The sequence below is a fragment of the Homo sapiens genome, chromosome 15 (genome assembly GCF_000001405.40).
Source record: "Homo sapiens chromosome 15, GRCh38.p14 Primary Assembly".
NCBI lineage: Eukaryota > Metazoa > Chordata > Mammalia > Primates > Hominidae > Homo > Homo sapiens.
In genome coordinates, this window is record NC_000015.10 from 36,524,140 (window position 1) to 36,542,051 (window position 17,912).

At 38.5% G+C, this 17,912-nt stretch overlaps 1 annotated feature.

Moving 5' to 3' along the window:
• Window positions 2,681-4,355: an enhancer, noted in NCBI's record as "VISTA enhancer hs355". NCBI's record gives its function as "enhancer in: neural tube[10/11] | hindbrain (rhombencephalon)[10/11]" and the evidence as "EXISTENCE:transgenic organism evidence [ECO:0001131][PMID:17130149]".

Genomic DNA, 17,912 nt, shown 5'->3' on the forward strand with positions numbered 1-17,912 from the left:
GGGATTGAGACTGACAGGTTCAGATCTAAAGTCTCTTTTAACTCAAAAGACTAGTCTACCCCTATGTAAATTTATAAATGCAGGTATATGTAGATATGTAGCAAAAGGGATATGCTTGGTGCAGAGACCACTGCCATCCATTAATTCCATTTAATTTTTCTTCCTCTTCAAGCATATAGGTAGACAACATTTCTTAGGCTCTCATGAAGTTAGGGTTTGACCTTATGACCAAATTCTTGCCAGTGGAATTTGAGAAGTGATGAAGATTCAGTCTATAACAAATCCTCTGTATGATTCTTCATGCTATTTCTCTTTCTGCTGACCAGTTTTAAATAATAATGAGGACTTTGGAGATGACAGAGCCACATAGTAAAAGGAGCCTGGGTCCCTGAATGACCATGTGGAGAAGAGCTGCCCTGTTGCCCTGAATACATATCCAGGCCTGACAAACTCATATGTTGTTCGGCTGTAACATGCCTGTCTCTGCTGGTCACCATAAATGTTCTACCCTCACTAATATACTGCTCAGTTCCTCTTGGAAGTACCCAAGCTCTAAATGCAACAGGCATGTTAGGGGAGAAGTGATGTACCTCGATCATGTATAGCATCTAGGTCTCAGGCTCTGAGTCCAGCCAAAATACCCTGTTTAAATATTTGGTTCAGACTCAGGTTTATCATTCCTTCATGACAGATAAGAAAATATAAGAATTGCCTAAAATCACACATCTTGTAAAGAGCAAAACTACCATTTGCACCTCAGTTTTAGACTTAGTCCAAAGCATCTTCCACCATCTTTCACCAAAGGTACATTAAGAGCTTCCATTCAAAGATCATTAACTACTAACGCTACTTTACCATTGAACAATGGCCTCTAGAAATTTATTTCTTTTCTCATATGCATACTTCTAAATTCATTTGAAGTAAGTTTGTTTGTTTGTTTATTTGTTTGTTTTTACCAATTTGGCAGATAGGAATATTAAGGGGAAAAGAGTTTAAAGAACTACAGAGAACACAAGTTTTTAAAATGTGAATTTCAGAACAATTTTCTGAACTTCTTCTAAAAATGTGATCCCTTACAAGCAAACCTACTTGTTAATAATGAATGAATGAGTATGGGCTTATCGCTTTTTCTCAGTGTCTTAATAGGATTTTATAATACAGATGCTTCAATAGCTTTAATTATAGCTATTTTTAAAGTCTCAATAGTTAGAGTCTTCATGTAGATGCAACTCTGATTTTTAAAAAATATATATATTTTTTTCTTCCAAGTGTCTATATTCTGTGTAAGCCTTTGGGGGTTTAATTTCAGAAGCATCTCATAGGTTGTAAAGACAAGAATTTGTAAGATTTAAGTCAATAATAGAAACATTGCTGTACAAATTTTAAAGCAGAATGTTGCAATAAATACAAAAAGATACCGAATGCTCTAAGGGAAGTCAGATCCTGCAAGCTGGCAGCATCAATCACAATTCCGTTGAAGACTTGACACAGCAATTAATGACATATCTGGCATGTACAGGTTCTTCTAATCATGTCTTGGACTACATACCAAAATAATACCAGGCAAAGACTTTCAGTAAATTACTTTCATTTACTCTGTGCAACTGAGTAGAAATTCTTTTCTCTGAGTACTCTGGACAAATTACTTCTGCCACACGTGTATTTTTGACTTGGACAACAAAGAACATAGAAATGGTAGTGATCACTCACACAACACAATGACTAAATCATATGATGATCAGTTACAATGCCCAGTTGAGGAGCCACAGTTTACATCCTTTTTGGAATAATATTTCTGCCAGGGTTGGAAAAACCGCCTTTTTTTCTATTAAATCAAATGGCCCTCCAGTGACTATAACATTCATGGAAAGAAGGGTTGACTACATAGACAACATCTTCCTTCCTCTCACGCCAATGCCCAACCAGTCTGGAACAATAAGCATGACCACAATATTAAACTGCATGTTTCTTCTCATTCCAAGAGATTTGTCTAATATTTGAAATTAACAATGTCCTATATCATTTTAACTATAGCTAGGCTGCCATACGAGTTTTTGCATTAATGTGCCTATTTCTAGGCACTGTGTTAAATATGACTCATTTTAATGTTATATCACTATGTTGCTCTCATATTAGATTCTACCTAGGTCTTTAAATTCATGTTAGATTCTGTCCTAGGTCTTTAAATGTTGAACAGGGTGTACAGACAAATGGCATATTAATAGGAGTCAGTTATGCTCATGAATTGTTAATTATTTTGTTGTTTTAAATGTTCGTGAAATAAGAACATAAAATTAGGTCTTTCCACACACACATGCATGCACCCACACACACTCACACACATACTATGGTGCCTATATAGATGTGAGAGAAAGGGAAAGAAGAGAGACAAGAGAGAGATTAAGTTTCCGTAGTCCAGCAAGTTTTATTCAAAGATATACAATCACTAAAGCAAGACAAGTCTTCTTTTGCTGAGGGTAAAACTCATTAAAGTTTATAGGTTTATAGTTGTAATTCAATTTTAGAAGGATAGATTACATAATTTTTGAAAAATTAGAAGAAATTAATAGAAAAACAAAACAGGTATGTAGAAGAAAAAATTATGTAAAGTTCAGTCTAAAATTTGCTATTAGTTCTTTGAACCAATATTCATACTTTAGAGTAGATACACTGCTTTGTGCGTAAGGTTCCCTCACGAATATTTAAATATAGCTTATGTATAATTATTGCACTTGCAAAGAAAGTAGCTGTATGTGCTTTCCTCAAAATTATCTGGCTGCGTTATAGGTAATTTTGAAAGCAACTTTATCTCCATCAAAAGAAAAGAACACAATGGCCTGGACCAACTGCTCATAAATGTCAGATACACTTGTGTATGCTAAGATTAGCATGTCCGTTAGGTCATGAGGGCATGGTCATTTCAGTTCAAAATTCCCCAAATTCATTTACCTTTTATTTGTCATCTCTTATGACATTTGAAGCTCCATTTGTGTGCTTTTCTTAGAATGTCTTATCTAATTGTTTCTGTAATTCAGAGTTGCATTCTACATCTTATGATGAAAAAGGAAAGCATTTGCATTTGCTATCCATGTTTCCAAGAGCTTATTTCCAAATGATATTTTCTTAAGTGGAGTTTGACGGTTTTCTGTAATGCAATTCAAAAGTGCCTCTCCTGAAAGGGACAGGTTCCTAAAGCAATGAATCAATGTATATTAGATATAGAAGGAAGAAAATAAAAAGCCAAACTTCTTCTACTGGTATCCCACTATCCAGCCACAATATAGCTGCCTTTTTTTTTTTTCTATCCTGACAGGGATTCACAGATGTCTTTTTAACATCCATAAAACAGAAATGCTCAATATGAAAACAAAGGAACATGTATATTGCCAGTAATAATTCGGTAATCTACAACTCCTTCCATTAACACTGTTGTTTTTATCCGTTTCCACATACAAACTTCTTTCTGCTTATAAATCAGGAGACTAAAGGGGAATAAATACATACGTATCATAGTGATCTAACACCCATCCCAAGCAAGCCTCATCCTGTGTCACTGTCTAAGTCATGCAAATTACACCAGAGCTGCCAGTTGACTAAGATTAATGACACTGCGCCAGCTTCTTTGTTTCTCTCTGCGGCCGTTTAGTGTGAAATACTATCCAAAAACATTATCTATCCTCGATTAATCCCACAAATTTGTTCACACGATGCACATTGTTTAGGGCAATTTACAACAGGAACATACTGAGCACAATTGCATTTAATTACTTGGGTTCTAATTACATTCATTAAAGGCTAATAAAATAAATGAAACAGCTTTAAAAGCTTCTGCAAAACACATGGGTCTTGTCTCCCTAGTGAAACATACAGTAGATGTTTGATGTGAAACACAGATTTGACCATATATGTGTGTTTATAGATGAATATATATACATATTCCATATGTTCTATAAGGTAGATTTTAAATCATAAGCAATAAAACCTCAAATGTTCTACCAATGCATTTATTTAGTGAGTGGGTGAAAGATTTTAGGAACCTAGCACTACTTTTTATGTGGAGAATAAAGAGAAAAGCAAATCCGTTTTCAAAATCGCTTTTGAATCTTAATTGTTTCCACCTGCACAGCCCGGATGCCCAACCTTCTCTTTTCCATGTCCACATTATAAAGGCCACTGACCAACAGAAGGGGGATGCATTCCACTTAAGCTAGGTTCTGGAGAATATTCCCATCAGCTTCAATCCCAAAACTCAGTCAGGACTTTTGGCTTACTCACTTCTAACCCTGTGGTAGCTTGTTGAAAAGCTAAATAACCTATTGTATAAAATTCACATTTTAAGACACCCTGGCATGTGAAGGTTTAAAAAAAAATGAAGTTGTTAGATTTTGCTAATATTTGCATATGTATTAAATGCTTAGTGTGCTTGGAAGACCATTTAAGAAACACAAAATGTAAAATAGCATTGTTGACAACTATGCCAGAAATAACCAGTGATGGATACTCAAAATAAGCTTTAATTTCACCATATTTTTTCACTCAGATAGAGCTCTGTATAATCTGTATTATCCAAAAACAAATGTCTACCTAACTAATTGTCTTATGTACTTTTGAGGTCCATGCTTTACTTTGTAAAGTCCATGGGTAATTTTATCTGGTAAAGCCAGAAAATGGAGCTGCAACACCTAAATCTAAATGCATGTGATTGGCATATCTCTTCACAAACAGAATTTTGCTCCCAGAGTAGATTTTGAGCATAATCTGAAAAAATAACAAGCAATTCGTGAATGATTTTGATAGGTGCCTGGATTTAGAATTTCAGCTAGATTCAGATCTTTGCCAAAGAATAAAGATTTTTTAAAAAATCTTACATAAATGCATTGGAAATAGCCTATTATTGTCTTTTCTTATACGGACATTCTTTGGCCGAGCATGTCCTCTTCTAGGAATCTGTCTTAAGGAGATATTCTCACATATGCACGAATGGAGTTAGGAAGATGGTTATTACAGCATTGTTTTTAGTAGTGAAAAAACTGGAAACATCCTAAATGCCTGTCAACAAAGGAATGGTTAATAAGCTATACAAATTCATATTCTGTAGATCTATATAACAACTAAAAGAATAAGGTAAATCTATATGTACAAGTGGAATGTTCTCAAAAAGCAAGTTGTGGAACAATATATATTATATGAATCAACAAGGTAAAACAGTATGTAAGGGTGAGTGTGAGTGTGTGTAAATGCATGGGAAAAGTCCCAAAGAATTGGAAATCTGATAGCAGTGATAACCTCTAAGACAGTAGACAAGAAAAGACAAGGGTGAGAAGCGAGTCCTCAGGGCAGGAAAGGACTTTCACTTGTTACTCTATAGACTGCAGTATCAAGTGGACATTCATAAGAAAAAAAGTATTTAAGTATTATATGTAACATTTTGAAATTAATGTGCAACCTAGAGCCATAATGTGTGCATTTAACACTCCCCCACATAAACATACACACAATAATTTCCCAAATATTTTCATCTGATTGCTCTTCAGAACATAATCTGGAAGAGGGTTTCTCAGAAAGTTATAAAAAGGGATGGAATTTTACAGTCTAGAAGTTTTCTCACTTAGACACTCTCTCTGTCTGCTTCTACTTCACTATTTTCAGTTCCTTTTATTATGCCTAAGTGCTGGCAATTTGGGGGAATTCCATTCTCATAACGCAGCTGCTGGGGGCATTAAGCGTCTGCATGGAATCCCTCTAACGGGAACACCGACTTGCTTCGGTGCCACTCGCCCTTAGAATCTTCAGTTCAGAGTCATGTCCAACATGGTTGAAGATTACCTCTCTGAAGTGCAAGGATTCAGGTTTAGTGCAAAGTAAACACTACTGTTGACTTTTAGAAAAGTTTTAATATAATGATGCTTTGCTATCATTCACTCATTAATGTGAATGTTTTAACAATTCCAGCACTATTCTATAAAACTCACAACCATAATAGCTTAGAAAAAGACTTAGCACAGAAAAAAAGATGAGTAAAATGAGAAACAAAGCAAGAACTATAAAGCCTTGGAAGTTTATTTTCTGATGCAAGCTTGCTTTTCTCTTCACCATTTCTTGAGCACTACAAGATTCCCAGCACTTACTTGCAACATTAAAGAAATCTAGGCCGGGCACAGTGGCTCACGCCTGTAATCTCAGCACTTTGGGAGGCTGAGGTGGGTGGATCACAAGGTCAGGAGTTCAAGACCAGCCTGGCCAATTTTTAGTAAGACCCCGTCTCTACTAAAAATACAAAAATTGCTGGGTGTGGTGGTGCACGCCTGTAGTCCCAGTTACTTGGGAGGCTGAGACAGGAGAATTGCTTGAACCCAGGAGGCGGAGTTTGCAGTAAGCCAAGATTGTGCCACTGCACTCCAGCCTGGGCAACAGAGGGAGACTCCATCTCAAAAAAAAAGAAGAAAGAAATCTAAAAAAAACAGAGATCTAAAAGTGGGTTGGGCACAGTGGCTCACGCCTGTAATTCTAGCACTTTGGGAGGCCGAGGTGGGCAGATCACCTGAAGCCAGGAGTACAAGACCAGCCTGGCCAACATGGTGAAACCCTGTCTCTGCTAAAAATACAACAGGTGGTAGCAGGCGCCTGTAATTCCTGCTACTTTGGAGGCTGAGGCAGGAGAATCGCTTGAACTTGGGAGGCAGAGGTTGCAGTGAGCCAAGATCATCCCACTGCACTCCAGCCTGGGTGACACAGGGAGACTCCATCTCAGAAGAAAATAAAAAGAAATCTAAAAGTGGAGACCCTCCATTTCATCATATATCGTCTCTGATAATGCCAACAAAATGCAGTCCAAATCCTAGGGTCTTGCATTCAGGGTTCTTCAGTTATGGGGTTTTGTGTCTTGCCACTTTATTTTATGTGCCATACATACCATGTGGATTTAGCCATGTCTGGCTAATGGTCTCTCCTCCTACAATTTCTTTGTTTCTCTCTGTTACTCTTCACCTGTTAGGATCTCTCAGGGTCTATCTTAAATATCATTTCCTCTGGCAATTTTCCCTAGTATCCTGAGTGATGCCTTTTCTGTTGAGAGTGATCTTTGCCATCACTGTACCTCCATTGCAGCTTATGCGTTTCTCTGGCATTTGCCACAAGTGCTCCCTTATTATAGAAGTTGACGTCTATCTCATATCCTGCTAATAGAATGTAAGCTCCTTAAAGGTTTGAACTGATGCCACTGTGCCCGTAAGACTAAGTAGAGTGCTCATCATATAGCAAGAGAATTTTTTTTTTTTTTTTTTTTTTAGATGGAGTCTCACTCTGTCATCCAGGCTGGAGTAAAGTGGCACGATCTCGGCTTACTGCAACCTCTGCCTCCCAGGTTCAAGCAATTGTCCTGCCTCAGCCTCCCAAGTAGTGGGACTACAGGCATGTGTCATCATGCCCAGCTAATTTTTGTATTTTTAGTAGAGACGGGGTTTCAGTATGTTGGTCAAGCTAGTCTCAAACTCCTGACCTCAAGTGATCTGCCCGCCTCGGCCTCCCAAAGTGCTGGGATTACAGGCATGAGCCACCATGCCCGGCCAAGAAAATTTTTTTAAACCTAATAGTCAAACAAAGGAAAATAGTTTCTAAATTGTTTAAATAATTATTAAACTCTTTTTATTAATATGTAGTTGTCAGTAGACAGAGCATCTCCAATGTCAAACAGAGTACCTGGCATATAATTGGTGCTCAATAAATATTTGTTGAATGCCTTTGAATAAGTAAATGAACAAATAAACACAGAAACAAATAAATAATGTGATTTTTTTCTTTCTTCCTTTTTCCCATTTGTCCATCCCAGTGGGGAAACATTTATTACAGTATCTCATGAATAATGTCAAAAACCTCAAGTACAGTAGTCTTCAGTATTACAGTCTAAAACCATAATAACAGCTTTATACAGAGCCTATAATTCAACACATATATAGTTTCTATTAAGATTTTCAGGACTGACTTTTAACATACTGACAGTTTAAATTGGTTCTCTTCTACAATAAAGGCTATAGAATAATTACAAATACGTTTAAGGAGTCCTGAATTAGTAATACGATATCCTTAGAATCCTGTCTTTATGCATACCTGCAGAGATTTAAAGATAGGGTGCATTTAATGCATGAACATCCTGAAAGGTGACAGGCAGAAGATACGCCTTAAATTAGGAGAACAGGGGCTGTGGTAATTCTTTAGTCAGTAAGAAACTCCCCTTACTTTGACACTTCTGGGCAGAAGACCACAACTTCTTCCAAATGGCCAAGTGAGAGCATGTATTGTGAACACTCAGATGCATTTCTTTTTATGACTTTCGAGAGCTTCTCCTCCCCTTTACTAACAAGGATGCACAATGTGGCAGGAAAAGACAAATACAAACAATATCAATACACTTTCATGGAATTCCGAGAGTTCTTTCCTTTTCTTCTTCCTTTTTTTTTTTTTACCCACCTCTTGGAAACTAAGAGGAGCTGTTCCACGTAAGCACCAGAGAAATGAAATATATAACTACAAACTGAAAGCCCGTGACCTCAATCCTCAGCCGCCCCTTGCCCCTCATTACCGCAGCAGTTGGTGTAGGGAAGGATTAAAGAGGGCTAGAAATCACTGGGCGAGCATACAAGGGCTCAGAAATTTGACCTTCGTTACTTAAAGCACACAGTCTTCACTAAAAGCTGGTATATGAGGAGAATTAAAAACAGAACCAAGAAAGGTCAGGTGGAGTGCAGATACACTAACAAAGATGAGGGTGAAATGGAAAAAAAAAAATCCCTCAAAATATTCATCTTTTCTTCTATTGGACAAAAGTGGACATTTCTAGGAGACATTTTGGCTTCTGCCACTAACCAAAAATGCAAAAGAGCCTCCATGCCAAAAGTAAGAGCATAAAATGTCAAATTGCCAGAGCCAGAGAGAACTTTAGAAGCAACTCCCCATGCAAGAGACTTTCTTAGGGCACTTTCTAATGAAATGGAATCAGATTCTGCCTCTTTCTGTATCTGATAGATTTTATTATCTGGATCTATGAATTACTCAGTTTAATGGGAAATACAAGAAGAGATTACAAAAGCACTGACTAGTAAAATATCTTTACAATTGTGAAACTGGCAACAAAGCTCTGTCTTTTTTGGGAAGGCAAAGTAAGGGGCAAGGGGCTCATGCCGTAAAGCATATGACCATGGCAACTGCCGCAATGGGGGCGTAAACTCAAAACCATTTCAAAAAACATACACTAAGAAGTGAATGATTCCCATCTGTCAGCAACAATGGGGCCACATTATTCATTGTTCTGACAGTCCTGTGTTCCGTGGGTGTTGGGAGCAGACCTTCTCTCTCAGAGACTCCTGCACATAGATGAGGAAACTGAGGCATTTAATTGAACTCAGCCTAATGACTTACCCTAAAGAGGTAAGCAGCCTGAGATCAGTAAATATTTAATGTGTTCTGAAAAGAAAATCTATTAGCCAAGTATTTTCATTCTTAAGAACAACAACGATTATAAAGATATGTTAGATTTCCATAATGGTCTGCACTTTCCAAAATAGTTTCATAAATTTTCAATGAAGCAAATAAATGAGTTAAATACTTACACAGAAAGATGGTAAGAGGTGTGAGTGAGGGGAATATGTACCCCAATCTCTTTTTTCTGTTTAAATAGTAAATCTTTTTTGGAACACTGCTGTCCAACAGAAGTATTATGATACACTTACATAATTTTAAATTTTCTGGCAGCCATAGTAAAAAAAGCAAAAGCAAACAGGTGAAATTCATTTTAATAATATATTTTATGTAACCCACTGTATCAAAAATGTTTTAAAATGCAACTAATATGAAAATTATTGTGATTTTTACAGCTTTTTGTACTAAGTCTTTGAAGTCTATGTGCAATTTATACTCACAGCACATCTCCGTTAGGACTAGCCACCTGTCACAAGCTCAATAGCCATGTGTGCCTAGTGGCAACTATTTTGAATAGCACAGCTCTGAGGTTCTGTTTTTCCCCTAATTTGGATGTTATCCTGCCCTGGTTTTTCTATTAGCTACTATAGACTTCAGATATCAAAAATTAGTTGATTTGATTTAGTTTCATATTTACCAAGGGCATTTAACAGAGCATGTAGAAGAAATCAACATATTCTCTCAAGTCCTAAGGATGAATATGTATGTGTGCATTTATGGTTATAGTAGTTTATATGTGTGTGACAAGCATTAATTCTGGGCCTACTCCATGTAAAAGCAATAAGCATTAATACTGTACAATATCCACAAACATTAATAGTGTGTCTATTCCACACAGTAGTATCAACAAGTATTAATAGCTTGCCTATTCCATGCAAAGCATTGTGCCAAGCACCAGATTCAATATCAAGACATCATTTTGGCCAAAGTATTTATTAAATCACTATAATACATGGGACTGCCACGCTTCTTTCACCAGCAAACCTCAGGTCCATTGTAAACTTTTCAACAGCTCTGAGTGTGGTAGGGTTCAACATTAAACAAGGACAATGAAGCCCTACTTCAAGTCTTGTCTCTGTCCTTTATAAGCACTATGACTTTGTGCTGGGCGCGGTGGCTCACGCCTGTAATCCCAGCACTTTGGGAGGCCGAGGCGGGCAGATCACGAGGTCAGGAGATCAAGACCACTCTGGCTAAGACGGTGAAACCCCGTCTCTACTAAAAATACAAAAAATCAGGCGGGCATGGTGGTGGGTGCCTGTAGTCCCAGCTACTCGGGAGGCTGAGGCAGGAGAATGGCGTGAACCCGGGAGGCGGAGCTTGCAGTGAGCGGAGATCGTGCCACTGCACTCCAGCCTGGGCGACAGAGCCAGACTCCGTCGCAAAAAAAAAAAAAAAAAAAAAAAAAACCACTATGACTTTGTGTCATTTCTCCACCCGAATTTTTAGTTCACTCATTGGTAAAATGACGACTACATGACCTCTAAGTAACTTTTCAGTTCTAACAGACTATTATTACTTGGTAATAAAAGTGTACCTCCTTTTAGCCTTAAGGAGCATACGCCTTACTCTTCAGCAGTGTCTACACAGTGTGATCTATGGAATACTAATAGGGTTGCCAGATTTAGAAGGAAAAAAACACACAATGTCCAGTGAAACTTAAATTTCAGGTAAACAAAAAAATAATAAAGCGTTAAGTATGTCCCATGCAATATTTGGTACACGCTTAACTAAAAAAAACTGTTGTCTCCCTGAAATTCCAACTTAACTGGCATTCTGCATTTTATCTGGTGACTGATTCTAGGTACTCAGAAAGTCTCATGCCACTCACCTCACAATCAGAGCTTGACATTTTCATGCTGTAGCACAGTAGAATGAAATAGGCACAAATTTTTGTCAGACCCCATGGCTATGAAACCTGGCTCAGCACTTTTCATTGTGTGTGACCTAAGTTTCTGAGCCTCTGTTTCCTCCTTTGTAATGCTGAAACTGATCTATAAAGTATAATAAATACTTCTCCTCATTCTATAAAGGAGAAAACTGATGGTCTGGGAGGTTGGGCTTGTCACTCTACATTCAATTAGTAGAGTTGATGTTTCCCTGTGAAAGGATAAGCGTTAGATAAAATAACGTATGAGCCAGGTGCATTATTTTTGTTTTGTTTTGTTTTGTTTTGCTGAGATGGAATCTTGCTCTGTCACCCAGGCTGGAGTACAGTGGCACAATCTCGGCTCACTGCAACCTCTACCTCCTGGGTTCAAGCGATTCTTCTGCCTCAGCCTCCCAAGTAGCTAGGAATACAGGCGCACGCCACCACACCCAGCTGATTTTTGTATTTTTAGTAGAGATGGGGTTTCACCATGTTGGCCAGGCTGGACTCGAACTCCAGACCTTGTGATCTGCCTGCCTCGGCCTCCCAAAGTGCTGGGATTACAGGAGTGAGCCATCGTGCCCAGCTGAGCCGGGTACATCTTAAGCATTCAATAAACAGCATATATTACAGCTGTTATTGAGACTGTAGGAGTTGTGGGTGGGGTAGGTGGAAAGGGAAAATGTTGAATTAGAGTTCTCTTTTGGAAAGGACATACATGAGTGAGACTTGATAACAGTCTTGAGCAGCTGAGAGAGAGGTGATGGGTCAGAGGTAGGTAGGAGAGAGGCATAGGATTGAGATAAGCGGGCACACAAACCTTTACTGCTTCACTTTCTAAATCATTCACTAAGCATGCACATGGCTCTACAGTTCCAGAGTGCCTCTGTATTTCCAAACCCAGTTTCAAGCCGGAAATGAATTTTACTCTCTCCCTCCTTTCCTCCCCCTGACACTCCAATTCATGCTCATATTACTAGATAAGGCAATCTGAATTGACATTTTCTCTCATTAGGTAAGGGGTAGATACGATACCCAGGATGAATCTCCTTTCTCATTTCCCTATTTCTACATAGTACCTGCAAAATGCAATTGCAATGTACAAGAGTAACACTGTTGGGAAAAGGAAGCCTCCAGAGAAACCTGGGGTTTTGAATGGAAGTGAAAAAGGGTCCATCTTTGCCTTTATAGAATTATGAAAGAATTATGAATTGAAATATGAAATTAAAAACACCACGTCTTAGGTTTCTTTACAGCACCACTGGTGGAGCCAACGCTTTCTCCCATTAGTGATTGTCATTAATATGGCATGTTATCGCCAAAGCTTGGAGGCCAGAAAGCTCTTCCCAGTTTTGCTATAGCCTTGAGGAGGCTCTGTCCCTTCCAATTGAGACTGATTAAAAATACAAAAAAAAAATCTTTCCCCACAATCCTTTCTAGATGTTGTTTAAATGACAGTGGCTTACTTTCTTCAAACTTTGCTATCTGTTTCTTTTTTATTTTTTCTCCCTATGCATCTGTCATCAGTTTTTTTCTTCATCATTCTGATCCCCACCTCCTGCATGAAGCTTTCTTTGTCCACCCCACCTAGACTTAGTTATGTTATCTTTCTTTCTCTTATGGTTCAGTTACATTTATATTGTCTTGTGTAGTGTGTGTGTGTGTGTGTGTGTGTGTGTGTGTGTCCAATTGGAATGCAAACACTTTGAGGACAGAAGCAAGGTTTTACAGTTCCATCTCCTCACACTGAATGACAATACATTTTATGTTTCAATATACATTACTTTTGAGGTGAAAGTAATATAATCCTTCAGATACTTAAATAATTCATGATTTTGTCTCATTAACGCTTATCTAACCTGTTGAAACAGTAAAAAATGTCAAATTTGTATAACTCTGTCTATGGAGCATACTGAGACTTTAGGGGGTGACGGGCAAAAAGGAGAAAGCAGGAGCAGATTGATACAAAGCTAGAAAGCTGACCCAGCATAAGAGCTGGCCACTATTACATTATTATTTTATGGTAGTACAAATTACTATCTGTATTCGTAGGAGTTCCTCTGTCTGTGAGGACTACTACGAGAGTCCTTTGTGATCTCAAACTTAGTGTGCAACAGTGTCACCATTTTGGGTTTCAGTCCATTTGAGGATCAGGACTCTATTTGGGAATTAGAGGTACCTGTGAAGAGTTCTAACCCCTGGGAACATTGGCAGACAAGAGATAGGCAAGGCGTCTGCCAGTGGTCTGGAATCTAGGGCAGAAAGCCAGTGCCTACAGGATCTTGGAATGCTTATCTGAAAACCCAAGGATATGCCTATTTGCACTCACTGGATTTGCATAGAAAGATGAAGGGAAACTTACATCTTAGGGGATATGTGAGTACCAGAACTAACATTAGACAGTAGGTCTTAGAGATCTTGTAGAAGCAAGACTAATTTTAGATCCCACCCCCTGATGAGGCAAAAATCTCCTAATGTTCTTCCCAGTGCCAAGATTTGAGCCCAAGGATATAGCAGGACTGAGACTGCAGATGAAGGGCCTTAGCACTTACATGTATCTTTAGGCCCAACAGTGAGAAAGGTAAAGACTGATAATTTATCTCATGAGTAGCTTCACAGATTAATATGATCAGTAGTTAGACAGCTATATATATATATATATATATATATGTGTGTGTGTGTGTGTGTGTGTGTGTGTGTGTGTGTGTGTGTGCGCCAAATCGTCTCAGTATGGTTATGTGCCCTATTTTTTAAAAAGTCAATTTTTTTTTTCAGATGGAGTTTTACTCTTGTTGCCCAGGCTGGAGTGCAATGGCACAATCTCGGCTCACTGCAACCTCCGCCTCCCGGGTTCAAGTGATTCTCCTGCCTCAGCCTCCCAAGTAGCTGCGAATACAGGCATGCACTACCACGCCCAGCTAATTTTGTATTTTTATTAGAGATGGGGTTTCTCCATGTTGGTCAGGCTGGTCTTGAACTCCTGACCTCAGGTGATCCTCCCACCTTGACCTACCAAAGTGCTGGGACTACAGGCGTGAGCCACTGAACCTGGTGTAAAAAGTCAAATTTTTAAATATTGTTTTAATATTAAGAAATATATACACACACAAAAAAAAGAACCACATTTCTCCAAACTGTAGTTTGAAAAGCAGGTCTAATGAAAGTCCAGAGTGGGTGCTTTGCATGGGTTTAGAGAAAGATAATATTGTTTCTTCTTTTTATGTATGATGCTATAATACAGTCTGCATTAGAAATACGGTGAGTCTTAAGTAGGGCTTACCTACCTAATACCTCTAATACCACCACTTTTTTGCACCAATCAGTCATTTTCTTTTATCTTTTTCTGTTGAGACGATATGTCACTCTGTCGCCCAGGCTGGAGTACAGTGGCATGATCTTGGCTCACTGCAACCTCTGCCTCCAGGGTTTAAGCGATCCTCCCAACTCAGCCTACTGAGTAGCTGGGATTACAGGCGCACGACCCCACACCCGGCTGATTTTTGTATTTTTAGAAGAAATGGGGTTTCACTATGTTGGCCAGTCTAGTCTTGAACTCCTGACCTCAAGTGATTCACCTGCCACAGCCTCCCAAAGTGCTGGGATTACAGGTGTGAGCCATGGCGACCTCATTTTAAATATTAAGGCCTGGTGTCTCAATATCTTATTAAAACACTAGAAACCTCAATATTCTGAAGTTGTTGTTGTAATATATGATTGTAAAAATCTTAAATTTGTAACACATAAACTGAAAATAGAGGGGGAGATAGTACACATTTTCTTTAAAAAACATAGAACAAAAGGCAAACAACCCTAATTCTTTTCTGTTTATTTAATTTATCATTGTCTTCATCTGTTCATGCATGCTATATGTTAACGTAGGACTTTTCCAACATTTTGAGTTCCATTAATCTAAAATATAAAGCCCTATACCTGTGATATATTACTAATGCTAATAGATAAGATCACCCAATTATAAACTTCAGTTTACTCTTATTAATGTAGCAAATGAAGTCATGGAAGTGAGTGAGATCTCATTTTGGATAAGGTTCCATTTCTTGTTAAATGTTGTTATTTCAGAGTTGGGCATATATCATCATTGATATAACAATAACAGATGTCTTATTTGTGGATTCATCTCCTGTCTGCCTCACAGCAATGATTTTACTACTTGTGAAGGATTACAAAAAATTACTGGAGGATTTACAAGAGGTCCCTGCTGTATTTATCTAGAAGCCAACTATAATATTGTTTTTCCATACCCATCAACAAACACAACTTAATCTTGACTCAAAAGAGCTGCATTACTCTTTCCTTAGCATGTGTGATTACAGCTTCAGAATGCTTTTAATCAATAAAAGTTGGATTAGTTGCAATAGCAGATGTTAGATGAGGGTATGAGGAAGATGCCATCCTCCTATTCTTCTGGAAACATCAAAAATTATCTTTTGCAAGAGGAGCTAGCACAGAGTTCTGCAGTGTATACCTACTGAGCCTGTGCCTTTTAAAGTTGTGGCTATACTTCTCATTGCAGCACTTCTCAAAGGATCTGGAACTTGCTTTTTTTCTGGTTAAATTGAAGTTTTCATTGTTGTTTCTTATGAATTGGTTGAGGAGAAAGGCAACAGATATTTTGGAATTCTCAGCACATTCCAATCACTTCTGCTGTTAATCGACTACTTAAACCAGTGAAATGACCCTTTAAACATCATGGTCCTGGGCAGAGTCACCAGGGCTGTGTCCTCAAATACTAGCAGCAGCAGCAAAGCTCTACAGCTTCTTCCAGAAATGAGAGGCACGTCCCATGTCAAGTACATGATCAAGGGGCTGTGAGTAATTCTTAGCAAACCATTTATGGGCATTCTTAATACTTTAGGAATATTCATAAGACTTCATTTAACATTCACAAAAACATATTAGAGCAATAAACTGGCATTGTCTTCTTAGAGGGTGGACACAGACATGGTGACTTTTTCTACAAGTTGGACAATGGGAACCTGTGTTATATCTAATGTACTCTACGTTGTTTTCAACAGCGTATTGGGAGCTAGTCAAGTCCACTTGGGAGCTAGTCAAGTCCACTTGAGATCTTGGATGTAGAGACAATTTCACATAAAGAAATGGTAACTCAATGGTGGAAGAGCTGAAGCAATTCAGCAATTAGCAACAGCAGGAAGCTCTGCCACATCCAAGTGACAAGGAGATGAGGTGTTGTTCCCAGAGCTCAGAAGCCAGGCTATCTAGAGCCAGCCAAAACCCCAGCAGACGATCACCTGATGGGAGTTGGGACCATGAAGGAGCTAGAGCCACAGACAGAAGGTAGCCACTGCCCCAGAGGCAGCTTGCTGAGACTCTCAGTTTGTGGGCAGGTTGCACTGCCCCCAAGCCCACCTTGACAACCGTGCCATTGGCTCAGACTCCAGTTCCATCCACATTATCTCAGCAAAGCTCCTTCTGTACTAATCAAACGAACTATCTTACAGAAACTAAACTAAACACTAATCAAAGTGTTATCAGCATTTATACCCTAATATTACTGTGTGTTATTAATATCTACTATGGCAGTGTCCAGCCATACTGAGGAGACTTCCATGGAGTTCTAACAGCTCAGATACCAAATATTGTTTTTATTGGGGCTCTGATTACAAATTGTATGAGATTTTGAGTGGTCTGCCCATGAGCTGTTTCTTTTTTCTTCTTTTTTAGTGACAGGGTCTCACCCTGTTGCCAAGGTTGAAGTGTAGTGGCAAGATCATAGCTCACTGCGGACTTGAACCTCTGGGATCAATGATTTTCCCACCTCAGCCTCAAGAGTAGCTAGGACTACAGGTGCAGTCACCACACCCAGCTAATTTTTTTTTCTTTTTGTAGAGATGGGGTCTCACTGTGTTGCCTAGGCTGAGCTCTTCTTCATTGTTTGTGTTAGCTTTGTCTTGTTTTTGCAGAACACTGAAATTTTCAGGAAAGAATATATCATGTTAATAATAGAAGCACTCATAAGTAAAAACATGATTTCATGTGGTTACAAAGCACTATAATATGGGGAGAAGATCAATATAGATCATTCATTCATGCAACATTTATTAAATGTTCTTGTACTTGGCAAATTCAAACATGAATCAGATATTAGGAGTGCCCTCTCTCCAAAGAGTTTACAACCGGACTTGTTTTGTTTTGTTTTGTTTTTGAGACAGGGTCTCATTCTGTCATCCAGGCTGGAGTGCAATCGGGTGACCATAGCTCACTGCATCCTCAAACTGTCAGGTTTAGCAATCCTCCTGCCTCAGTCTCCTGTGCTGGGACTTTGACGCATGCCACCACACCCAGCTAATTTTTTTAAAAATTTCTAGTAGAGCTGAGGTCTTGTTATGTTACCCAGACTGGGGAAACTGTTGTTAACAGGTAATTAGAAAGAAAGCAGTAAATGTTATAATAGAGGTGTTATCAGCATGATGAGAAAGTCTAGAGCAGGGTAAGAATAATTTTGCCTGTAGGTGTCAGGAAAGACTTGAAGAGGAAGTGATATTATGATGTTTAAAAGGTAAGAGTTTGCCAAATAGTGAAGGAGAAA